This window comes from Homo sapiens, chromosome 16 (genome assembly GCF_000001405.40).
Source record: "Homo sapiens chromosome 16, GRCh38.p14 Primary Assembly".
Lineage (NCBI taxonomy): Eukaryota > Metazoa > Chordata > Mammalia > Primates > Hominidae > Homo > Homo sapiens.
In genome coordinates, this window is record NC_000016.10 from 31,510,192 (window position 1) to 31,523,108 (window position 12,917).

Genomic DNA, 12,917 nt, shown 5'->3' on the forward strand with positions numbered 1-12,917 from the left:
GCAGTGGCACAGTCTTGGCTTACTGCAACCTCCACCTCCTGGGTTCAAGTGATTCACCTGCCTCACCCTCCGGAGTAGCTGGGGTTACAAGCATTCACCACCACACCCAGCTAATTTTTGTATTTTTAGTAGAGACGGGGTTTTGCCATGTTGGCCAGGCTGGTCTTGAACTCCTGGCCTCAACTCATCTGCTTGCCTCGCCTCCCAAAGTGCTGGGATTACAGGCATGAGCCACTGTGCCCGGCCAAGGGAAATTTTTTAACAAAAATTTAAGTTGGGGTCTCTCTGTGTTGCCCAGGCCTCCCGCCTCGGTCTTCCAAAATGCTAGGATTATAGGCATGAGCCGTTGAGGCCAGCTGGGAAACTTTTTTTTTGAGGAAGTGTGTATTTAGCTGAGATCTAGAGTAAGAGTTAACTTGATTATGATGGGAAAATAATTTTCTGGAAAGAAGGAGCAGCATGTCCTGAGTGGGGAGGGAGCATGGTACCTAACATCCAACAAAGGCCGGTGCAGCAGAAGTCTAGAGCACGAGGGGCATGGGGAAAGGGCTGCTAGGGAGTTAGGGGCCAAACTGCAGGACATTGTAGGCCAAGCTCTTCTTCATCCTTAGGGTTAAGATTTATTTTTTATTCTATCAGTCAATCAATCAATCGATCGATGAGACAGGGTCTTGCTCTGTCACCCAGGCTGGAGTGCAGTGGTGCAATCATAGCTCACTGCAGCCTCAAACTCCTGGGCTCAAGTGATCCTCTTGCCTCAGCCTCCCAAGTAGCTGGGACTACAGGCATGCACCACCATGCCTGGCCAACTTTTAAAATTTTCTGTAGAGATGGGATCTCACTATGTTGCCCAGGCTGGTCTCCAACTCCTGGCCTCAAGTGATCCTCCCACCTCGGCCTCCCAAAGCTCTTGAGATTAAAGAATATATTGGTATATGTTGGAGTGGCACTTTAGAGAAGTAGTTGAATAAATTTAATTTTTTTTAAAAGACAGGTTCTCTGTCACCCAGAGAGTGCAGTGGTGTGATCACACTACAGTCTCACTACAGCCTCAACTTCCAGGGTTCAAGTGATCTGCCTCAGCCTCCCGAGTAGCTGAGACCACAGGCGTGTGCCACCATGGCTAGCTAATTTTTGTATTTTATTTTTGTAGAGACAGGGTTTTGCCATGCTGCCTAGGCTGGTCTCAAACTCCTGGGCTCAAGTGATCTGCCCACCTCAGCTTCCCAAAGTGCTGGGCTTATAGGCATGAACTGTGCCTGGCAGAAATTTAATGTTTAATTCTTATTTTCCATTTAGCTTATAACACTGTCAATAAATTATCCTTTCAAAATAATTTTGAGTTTCCTGGCACAGTGAAAGATCAAGCATTGTGTTATATTTGAAAGGTTAGCTTCTGTGAGTGGATAGGACTCTGGGGCATCAGAGGGCCTTACTGTGAATGTAGGTTCTGTCCAGGAAGCTGTCCAGGAAGCTGTGAGATCTTGGGCAAGTTACATATCTCTCTGTCTTTCAGTTTCTTCTTCTGAAAGACGAAATGGTAATGGTAAAATGGAAATAATACTAGTACCTACCACACAGAGTTGGAACGAGAATTAAGAGTCATGTCTTGGCCGGGCGCGGTGGCTCACGCCTGTAATCCCAGCACTTTGGGAGGCCGAGGCGGACGGATCACGAGGTCAAGAGATCAAGACCATCCTGGCCAACATGGTGAAACCCCATGTCTACTAAAAATACAAAAATGAGCCAGGTGTGGTGATATGTGCCTATAGTCCCAGCTACTTGGGAGGCTGAGGCAGGAGAATTGCTTGAACCTGGGAGGTGGGGGTTGCAGTGAGCCGAGATTGCGCCACTGCACTCCAGCCTGGGCGACAGAGCAAGACTCTGTCTAAAAAAAAAACAAAAAACAAAAAAGTCATGTCGTATGTGCAAAACTCTTAAAGTATTTAGCACATAGTACATACTGTTTAAGTGTTGGTTCTTATTCAGAGATAATGTCAAGTGTTCAAATGTGAGGCCCTTGGCTCCAAGTGAGGCAGGTGGCCCTCATGACTAGTGTCACTGTATAATTTATTGTGCAAACCAGGACTTTTGAGAGGGTCATTAAAGGAAGCACTGGTAATAATTGTGTTGGGAAAACAGGTCTGCGGGAAAACAGGTCTGCAGTGAAGCTGTCTCAGGCAAATGGGAATATATGGTCACATTATTTATGAACCCACTGCAGCTCTACTGCTTACCATTGTCCACCTTGACATCTCCTTACTCAGAGACTATGACAGTCCCTGTTCGTTGTAGCATTTACTTAACTCTTAGCCTATGCTGTCTGGAGCCAGTTTGTATTTGCTTTTGTTAGGTACAGATGTCCTGTCTTCCCAAGTGGACTGTAAGTGCCTGAGGGCAAGGACCCATCATACACTTCCCTGTGACCTGAGTGTGCAGATAGGTGGCTTGACAAAGAGATGAGTGATAGTTCCCCTTTCTCTATGGCTGACTGCCACCGTCACTACTTGAAACCCTCATTATGATAGTTACTACTGTTACTGTTTGAGACCTTCACTACGACAGTTACTACTGACTACTTGAGACCTTCACTATGACAGTTACTACTGTTAGTACTTGAGACCGTCATTATGACAGTTGCTGTTACTACTTGAGACCATCAGTACAACAGTTACTATTGTTACTACTTGAGACCATCATTATGACAGTTACTACTGTTACTACTTGAGACCGTCATTATAACAGTTACTGCCATTACTCTTTAACACCCTCATTACAAGACTGAATGAAGGGATGAACATAGACAATGAAAACTTAAAGCAAAAAGGAAGGGTCCAGGGGAAGAAGAAGAGAGCTCCCTGCTTCTAGTGAGCAAAGGCAGCCCTTGAGCTTCCACAGCCCTTCGTATTTGTTGGGTAGCAAGAGCAGGGAGGAGGAGGTAATGATGGGTTGGCTGCTTAACTGATAACAGGTTCATAATATTATTAACAGGCTTCAGATGTACCTAATCGCAAGAAACACTGTGCTTGGGGCATGACTGCCCTCAGCATTCCTTCTGGGTGGCAGACGCAGTTTGTCAGTCTGCCAACATTCTGCATTTATGAGAAACAGTTTGTGGTTTACTCATACAGCCTCCAGTGGTATACTGAGTTGATCATGACCCTCATTCTTTCGGCCTGTAACATTTCTCTCTCATGAGGTCTCTTGAAAGCCTGCGCCTAAATCCTGTCATTTGATAGTGCAACTGTCTCTTGTTATAGTTGGGGAATTGGTTCCAGGACCCTGGAGTATACGCAAACCTGCACACACTCGTCTTGCAGTTGGCTCTGCATATATGTGGCTTTTGCAACCCTCTGTTACTGTATTTGCTTTTTTTTTTTTTTTTAGATGGAGTTTCGCTCTTGTTGCCCAGGCTGGAGTGCAGTGGCACAATCTCAGCTCACTGCAACCTCCGCCTCCTGAGTTCAAGTGATTCTCCTACCTCAGCCTCCCAAGTAGCTGGGATTACGGGCATGTGCCACCATGTCTGGCTAATTTTTGTATTTTTAGTAGAGACGGAGTTTCACCATGTTGGCCAGGCTGGTCTCGAAGTCCTGACCCCACATGATCCACTCGCCTCGGCCTCCCAAAGTGCTGGGATTATAGGCATGAGCCACTGCGCCCGGCCTGCTGTATTTTCTTTCCTTTTCCTTTTATTATTTAACTGAATAAGAAAAAATGTTGGTATCCTTTCTTTTCTTCTTGCTCTGTTCTCCCCTCTCTCCCTCCCTTCCTTCTTTTCCTTTCCTGCCTCCCTCCCTTCCTTCCTTTCCTCCTTCCCTTCTTTTTCCCTTCCTTCCTCCCTCCCTTCCTCCCTTCCTCCCTTCTTCCTTTCCTCTTTTTGGAGATAGTTTCACTCTGTCACCAGGCTGGGTGCAGGGGTGTGACCATGGCTCACTGCAGCCTTGACCTCCTGGGCTCAAGTGATCCTACCATCTCACTGCCTGAGTAGCTAGAATTACAGGTGCATGCTACCACTTCCAGCCATTACTATATTTTTGATCTATATTTGGTTGAAAGAAATCTACATTATAAGTGGACCTGCCCAGTTCAAACCCGTGTTGTTCAAAGATCACCGGTATATCAAGCATGGGGCAGAATACTCCAAGCTCTCAGCCCCTTGACTTTCCCCTAGTTGATTTCGCCCCTTCCAATCCTGCCTCCTGTAGTCACTCTCCACACAGCTTCCAACTCTCTGGTTTACAGCCTCTCAGTGGGCTGGGCACAGTGGCTCATGCCTGTAATCCCAGCACTTTGGGAGGCTGAGGTGAGTGGATCACTTGAGGTCAGGAGTTTGAGACCAGCCTGGCCAACATGGTAAAACCCCATCTCTATTGAAAATATAAAAATTAGCCAGGCGTGGTGGCACTAGCCTGTAATCCCAGCTACTTGGAAGACTGAGGCAGGAGAATCACTTGAACCTGGGGGGCAGAGGTTGCAGTGAGCCGAAATTGTCCCACTGCACTCCAGCCTGGGTGACAGAACGAGACTCTGTCTCAAAAACAACAACAACAAAAACACCTCACAGTGGCTTATCATTACTTTTATGGAAGGAGATTGCAACATTCTCCTCCAAACCCTTCAATGGCTTTTCTTCATACTTGAAAATAAAACCCGAACTTTTTGTCAGAGCAAACAAAACTCTGCAGATCCGGCCCTGCCTGATCTCTTGAACCTCACCCCTGCCACTCATCCTGTCTCTTCCCCTAACGATCATAAGATCCAGGAACACTAATCTATTTCCAGGGCTTTGTGTCAGTGCCTGGCACAAGGTAGGGTCCAAATACCCATTTGTGGAAAGAATAAATTTTTATTTTTTAAAAAATAGAGATGGGGAGGCCGGGTATGGTGGCTCATGTCTGTAATCCCTGCACTTCGGGTGATCGAGGCAGGTGGATCACCACCTGAGGTCAGGAGTTTGAGACCAGCCTGGCCAACATGGTGAAACTCCGTCTCTAATAAAAATACAGAAATTGGCTGGATGTGGTGGTACGCATGCCTGTGGGCCCAGCTACTTGGGAGGCTGAGGCAGGAGAATCACGTGACCTGGGAGGCAGAGGCTGCAGTGAGCCGAGATCATGCCACTGCACTCCAGCCTGGGTGACACAGCCAGACTCCATCTCAAAAAAAAAAAATTATTTCAATGTCAGAATTGTTAGATATATTAAAACACAAGTCTATTATGTAAAAGGAAAACTCAAGGTACGGAAAATTATTCACTGAATTAAGTGTTACTAAGATGAGTATTGAGCCGAAGAATGGCTTTAGGACGTTTTTCAAGGCAGAGTAAATATTATCAAATAATTTACTTAAGAAAACTACTGAAGTCCATGATTTTTGTTCTAATATGAAAACCTAAGGTCATCAAGATACCTTGACCGCTCATCCCCTGACTTCATGGTCTTTTCATCATTCTCAGAGACCAGATGTTTCCTGTCACCACACATCACAGTCTCCATTAGGTACTTTGTATGTCCAGAGCAGGTTAAAGCTTTATATTTAATACTTTTGAAAAAGAATAAGATAATTTAATCAGCTATATCTTATACATTATCACAGGCATGAAGGAATTGTAGAAATGCTTCCACTCATCCTGACAATGTTCTGACTTGTGGAATTGACAGAACAACTAGTGAATTAATTTCCAAATTAAACTACAAAACTTTAAAAAACCCATTATTCCCATTTTACGGGTAAGGAGATCTTAGACAAGAAAGATTAACAAAAACAGATTTTTGGGGCCAGGCATGGTGGCTCAGGCCCATAATCCCTGCACTTTGGGAGGCCGAGGTGGGTGGCTCTCTTGAGGTCAGGAGTTCGAGACCAACCAGGGCAAAATAGTGAAATCATTTTGTATTTCCCTATGAAAAATACAAAAAATATTAGCTAGGCGTGTTGGTGCATGCCTGTAATCCCAGCTACTCAGGCGGGTGAGACACAAGAAACCTTTGAACCTGGTAGGTGGAGGTTGCAGCAAGCTGAGATCGTCCCTCTGTACCCTGGGTGACAGGGCCACACCCTGTCTCAAATAAAACAAAAAAACAACAACAGATTTTTGGCCTCTTGCATCAAAAACCAACAATGACATAAATGAGCCGCAGTTCAGGACTGGCTCATGTTCTTAGAACTTAGCTCCCTCTCTACAACTTAGCCCATGACCCAGCAATTATTTCCTTTCCCCACATGGCCTTGGCACTGGTCAGTTTCTGGCCCAGTGAAGTCCCCTTTCCAGACTAGAGCATTTACCCCACCTCCTGATACACTTCCTTCCCTTGCAGGCGATCCCTCATAGACCAAAATGTAACACACCCACCAGGCGCCTCCCTGTTGCCGGGCTGTGGAACTCAGTGACTGTTAGGACGGCCAGCAAGTGTATGGAGGGAGGCGGCCAGGTCAGAGATATGGGCTCAGGATCCTGTGACCTCACCTCCCCACAGAACTGCAATTATACTTTCACCTGGGGCAGCAATGACAGTACCCACTTGGGGAATTGAAAATATTTTTTGTTGCGGGAAGTCAGGGACCCTGAATGGAGGCACTGGCTGAAGCCATGGCAGAAGAACATAAATTGTGAAGATTTCATGGACATTTATTAGTTCCCCAAATTAATACTTTTATAATTTCTTATGCCTGTCTTTACTGCAATCTCTGAACATAAATTGTGAAGATTTCATGGACACTTATCACTTCCCCAATCAATACCCTCGTGATTTCCTATGCCTGTCTTTACTTTAATCTCTCAATCCCGTCATCTTTGTAAACTGAAGAGGATGTATGTCACCTCAGGACCTTGTGATGATTGTGTTAACTGTACAAATTGTGTGTAGAGCATGTGTGTTTGAACAATATGAAATCTGGGCACCTTGAAAAAAGAACAGGATAACAGCAGTGTTCAGGGAACAAGAGAGATAACCTTAAACTCTGACTGCCAGTGAGCCAGGTGGAACAGAACCACATTTCTCTTCTTTCAAAAGCAAATGGGAGAAATATCACTGAATTCTTTTTCTCAGCAAGGAACATCCCTGAGAAAGAGAATGCGTCCCTGAAGGGAGGCCTCTGAAATGACCACTTTGGGGACAGCTGTCTTTTACGATCATAGTGGAGGGATGAAATAAGCCCCGGTTTCCAGTAGTGCTCCCAGGCTTATTAGGACGAGGAAATTCCTGCCTAATAAATTTTGGTCAGACCGGTTGTCTGCTTTCAAACCCTGTTTCCTAAAAGATGTTATCAATGACAATGCGTGCCTGAAACTTCATTAGCAATTTTAATTTCGCCCCAGTCCTGTGGTCCTGTGATCTTGCCCTGCCTCCATTTGCCTTGTGATATTTTATTACCTTGTGAAGCATGTGATCTCTGTGACCCACACCCTATTCGTACACTCACTCCCCTTTTCAAAATTGCTAATAAAAACTTGCTGGTTTTGTGGCTTGAGGGGCATCACAGAACCTGCTGACTTTTGATGTCTCCCCTGGACACCCAGCTTTAAAATTTCTCTCTTTTGTACTCTTTCCCTTTATTTCTCAGACTGGCTGACACTTAGGGAAAATAGAAAAGAACCTATGTGAAATATCGGGGCTGAATTTCCCCCAGTAATTTTTGAAAAACTTTGTCCCAGTTACAATTACCAAAAACAATGACAACTTCCCTGCAGCACCTCCAGAGAGATGGCAGTGCCTGGAGAGGCTCTGCTTTTCCATGATCCTTTGAGGCAGACAGGGGCTCTCCTGGAGGAAGCAGAAAATGCAGAGTCTGAGCCAGAAGGGGATGACAATGAAGCGCAGTGGGTGCTGGATTCTGTGCCTCCTGGAATGTGTTTTTGCTGAAGCTCTCATTTTCTGTTACTCCCCAAATTCTTCAAATGAACAATCTTTGAATTATAAATAAATGGTAACTTGAGAAGGATTTGTCAACAGATTACAGTGCCAGGAAGAACGTGAGGTTCAATATTGACAAAATAGAGACATCTGTGTAATTCAATGCAAGTTGATATGCACATGTATATTGCATATGTATGTGTGTGTGTGTGTGTGTGTGTGTTTTGAATACATGTTTTATCAAAATGTAACTCAATAGAGTTAGACGCTAAACTGAGCAATATTCATAGAAGAAACAAAGACATTTAACAAGGAATTTCCCCTCCCACACACACAAGCACCAAGTTTATGTAGTTGAGAGGGAAATTCTACTGATAGAATAATCAATAAACTAATGCTACTTAAACTACTCAAGAGTTATAGAGAGGTAAATCTTTCCTAAGATAGTTTTTAGGAAGGGTATATAAAGGTGATACCAGAACCTTGCCTAGATTTAGCCATATAGAATACTATAGACAAATAGGACATATACTTTTTTTTTCTTTTTTTTTTTTTTTGAGACGGAGTTTTGCTCTTGTTGCCCAGGCCAGAGTACAATGGCACGATCACAGCTCAGCACAACCTCCGCCTCCCGGGTTCAAGTGATTCTCCTGCCTCAGCCTCCCGAGTAGCTAGGATTACAGGCATGCACCACCATGCCCAGCTAATTTTATATTTTTAGTAGAGACAGGGTTTCTCCATGTTGGTCAGGTTGGTCTTGAACTCTTGACCTCAGGTGATCCACCCCCCTTGGCCTCCCAAAGTGCTGGGATTACAGGCGTGAACCACAGTGCCTGGTGACATATACATTTAAGAGTAAAATATTAAATATTAGAAACTATCGCATCAATATGTTAATGCACAATCAATCGCCCTTTATGTTATGAAGGTAAGTATGATTCACTCTTAAGAAATTCATCGATGAAATTAATCACATTAATAGAATGAATGAGAATGTCATGTGACTATGTTCATCAATGCAAAAAAATTGGCAGAATTCTACAGAAAATTATGTTTAATAAATTTAGTAAGAAATTGGTGTAAAAGATTTCTGAAAAACATGAAAATAGACTTATACAAATGAAAAATAATGACACCAAATGTTTGGGTGGGAAAATTCAACAATATTGAGAAGTCAATAATCTTTGAATAAATTTATATGTTGAGTTTGACCCAAATATAATACCATGTACTTGAGTTCTGAAGATTTAAAAAATGTATTGCTATGTAAAGTAAACAAAAAAAATCCATGAACAATTTGAAATAAAAAAAAAAAAGAGTGACTTCCTTTGTCATATATTATTAAAACATGGGGATCTGGCACGGTGGCTCACGCCTGTAATGCCAGCACTTTGGGAGGCTAAGGCAGGCGGACCACCTGAGGTCAAGAGTTTGAGACCACCCTGACCAACATTGTGAAACCCCGTCTCTAACAAAAATACAAAAATTAGCCAGGTCTTGGTGGGCACCTGTAATCCCAGCTACTCAGGAGGCTGAGGCAGGAGAATTGCTTGCACCCGGGAGGCAGAGGTTGCAGTGAGTCGAGATCATGCCACTGCAATCCAGCCTGGGTGACAAAGCAAGACTCCATAGGAAAAAAAAAAATAAATAAATAAAAACCATGGGAATTAAAATAGTGTACTGTTGATTCATGAATAGAAATAGAAATGAGTGGAATACAAATTTTAAAATAGAATAAAATATATGAAAATATTTTACAATTTTAATTACAATAAGACAGCAGTGACAAAAGTAGAAATGTGGATTTGGGGTGTCTCACTGGAGACCACAGCCCATAAATATGTAGCTAAGCCTTTGTCTCCTCATGTGTTTTGTTGCCACAGAGATGGTGTTTCCACAAGTGCAGGGAGGGTATTCAGCCTTTGAATAGAGCAGCTGTGGCTATTGTCTGATGGATAACATTTTTACGGGCACAATACACACTGTAACCTGTTTTAAGAGCCCACAGCCTGTTTTCTGGTGAGCTGAGATGTGGCTGCCTTCAGTAACACTTTATCGCCTGCATCTGACCCACTTTCTCTGGGTACCTTAAAAACAGTCACATACTGTTTTAGTAATTCCTTCAGTTGGTGACTTGCCTGGTGTGAGACTATCTGGGAACCCCTCCTACCCAAGCCCACAGGTGATAACAGTCTGTGAACAGTCCAGGGAGACACCAACTGCTCAGGGATGCTGGAACAGTGTATGAACAGACTATGTATGTTTAAACTTGTACCCATCATTGAGCTTTGGCCAATTGTTCAAACCATGTTCAAATAAGATAAATGCCAATTGTAACCAATGCAGCTGTTTCTGTATCCCACTTCTGTACCATTTTCTGTATGTCACTTTCTTGATTCTGTCCATAAATCCTCTCTGACCACACAGCAGCATGGAGTTTTTCTGAGCCATTCTGGTTAAGGGAGCTGCCTGGTTTGCAAGTCATTCTTTGTTCAATTAAATCCTGTTCAACTTAATTTCCCTAAAGTATTTTTTTATTTTTTACTTATTTTTTTTAAACATTACCAAGGTTAACAAGAGCTTGGAATACCTTAGGTGGGAGGAACATGGTAGGTGATGTTTTTGGGAGGATGAGGTGAGGCCAGAATGGGGTTCAAGGGCCAAAGAGGGACCTGTGTGAGAGGCTGATGAGGGTGCTGTTAGTAACCGGGCCTATTATATGGGAACAAGGTTATTACCCCCATCAAACATGAGAGAAGGGGAAAAGTTCTTAAAACACAAGCAGGAGGTATTTCCCTCCTACTTTTTATATTTCCACAAAGAGCCAAAAGCCAAGTATATGGCTTCTGTCCTTCATTCTCACAGTGTTCAGAGTAGCCAGCCATGTCCAATGAGGAGGGTTCAGGTGCATAGAGCAGTCTTCTAAATACTAATCTACATCTTTTTCCACTACAGCATTTTTATCAAGTCAATTTAAAAAGTTTTGGTTGATTAAGGAAACGTTTTTAAGGCCTGGTGCAGTGGCTCATGTATGTAATCCCAGCACTTTGGGAGGCCAAGGTGGGCGGATCTCTTGAGGTCAGGAGTTGGAGACCAGCCTGGCCAACATGGTGAAACCCCGTCTCCACTAAAAATACAAAAAATAGCCAGGCGTGGTGGCAGGTACCTGTAATCCCAGATACTCAGGAGGCTGAGGCCGGAGAATCGCTTGAACCTGGGAGGTGGAGGTTGCCATGAGCCGAGATCGCGCCACTGCGCTCCAGCCTGGGTGACAGAGCGAGACTACGTCTCAAAACAAACAAACAAAAAACCTTTTAAAGTATATAAACATTAGTTTCAAAATTCTGGTTGGCAAAACAACTATGTCAAGTTCATGAAATATAGGGGAAGTTCCAATGAAGTGTGAGAGCTAGAGTTACTCCCAGAGCGAGCTTCGGGGCTGCTGTCCTGTCCTCAGGGTGCTACAGTCTTTCTAAGCTACATAGGTCACACATGGAGCTGACCTTTCAAACACACAGTTGCTGCTGTGTAAGAGAAATAGGGGACCTTTAACTCTGCTCCTCTGGATGGAAAGAAGGTGTCTCATAGGTCCTATTTTCCATACTAGATGTTAAGTACAGTCGCTATAAGAAGGTCAGTTTCAAATGATTTGCAAAGCACATTTACAAACTCTTTAACCTCAGGAGCATGCCCCTGAATACTACAAATATGGGGGTTGGGGAATCACTTTGAAAGCAAAGGGGGTGAGGCCTTTCTTTTCAGTGACCAAACAGGGTCCCTTGTACAATTCACAGATCCAGCTGCTAGCCCAGCCCGCACCTTAACTGGTTCCTGTGGGAACCCCAGCTCAGTTTGTCTCCAAGATGCCCCCAAATCCTCCAGCCTGGATGCTGCCTCCAGGGTCTACCCTTGTGGGGTTTCCCACTGAGACCCCCCTCACCAGAGCCCAGAAAGAGCCAACCCAAGCTCAGCCGGCAGTGGTTGCTCACTCCGGATGATCTGTCTGCTCTGCTGTCAGTTACACCACTGCTGTCTACTCTCAACCAAGTCTACACCAAGAGACGTCAGCGGCTCATGCCCAATTATGCCTTTCGTAACAACCCCCCTGCATCTCACCTGTCTCCAGCTCCCCACATCCCTTGAAGCTTGGTTTCCTTGATCAGGATTAGGGGTTTTCAGTGTGGCAGGGACTCCTGATAGTCGCAGAATGGCATCTCTGAGGCCAAACCATGTCTGAATTGACACTCCATGTTATCTAACTTTTTCACTCTCCTCTGCTCTGCAGTGTGGGGTGGAGTTCCCCAAAGCAGAAGCAGTTGTGAGAATTCAGCTGTCTCCTACTAATCCAGGTATTTCAGAGACCCCTGTAGGCAGAACACCATGGTCCCGAGATGAGCAGGAAGAACCCTTCCAATGGGTATGCGGTCCTGGGAAGTTTTAGAGAATCAAATTCCAGTTCTTTGAAGTCCATACTCACTCATTCTCAAAATCAACTAGGCCCGGAAACGGTGTCCAGGGGAGTCCCTGCCCCTGGGCCCTTCTCACGTTTCCTTCCTTCTCCCAATTGCCAATCTCACCTGCCTGAAATTTACAAGGGGCGTTGTCCCAGACCACCAGAATAGGGACCCTTCAACAATTCCCTCAATTCTATGCCATCCATCTGATTAGAGGATTTATTTCCAATACAATTGGAATTTCTGTTTCATAAATATTTATTAAAATTTGAAACATTCACTTTGGTAAACCGCATTTTACTAAATATGTGTCTATATATGTTATATATATATATAAATTTCCTCTTGAATATATATGTCAGAGCTGTCTATCCATGTATTTATACAGAGAGAGAGTGAGACAGAGAGACCAACAGAAAGACACAGCACATGAGAGAAGTTGCAAGTAAGTAGAATGGGAGTGAACAAAATACAAGCACAAAAGCATGTGAGTTATCTTAGGATAAAGTTAAGTGGGGATAGTGGAATAGAAATACAAGTTCAAGAAGTAAAAGGCATGTTGTAAAACTCCCAGCTGCTAAGGAAAAACCTGTTTGGTTTTTAAAAAAAT

General features: G+C 44.0%; 2 annotated features.

The window, feature by feature from the left end:
- Positions 6,151-6,651: an enhancer, noted in NCBI's record as "H3K27ac hESC enhancer chr16:31527663-31528163 (GRCh37/hg19 assembly coordinates)". NCBI's record gives its function as "activates a minimal SCP1, AML or CMV promoter by ChIP-STARR-seq in primed H9 embryonic stem cells {active_cell/tissue: H9 hESC(primed)}" and the evidence as "EXISTENCE:reporter gene assay evidence [ECO:0000049][PMID:30033119]".
- Positions 6,244-6,444: a silencer, noted in NCBI's record as "peak2567 fragment used in MPRA reporter construct". NCBI's record gives its function as "represses an SCP1 promoter by STARR-seq MPRAs in K562 erythroleukemia cells {active_cell/tissue: K562}" and the evidence as "EXISTENCE:reporter gene assay evidence [ECO:0000049][PMID:32103011]".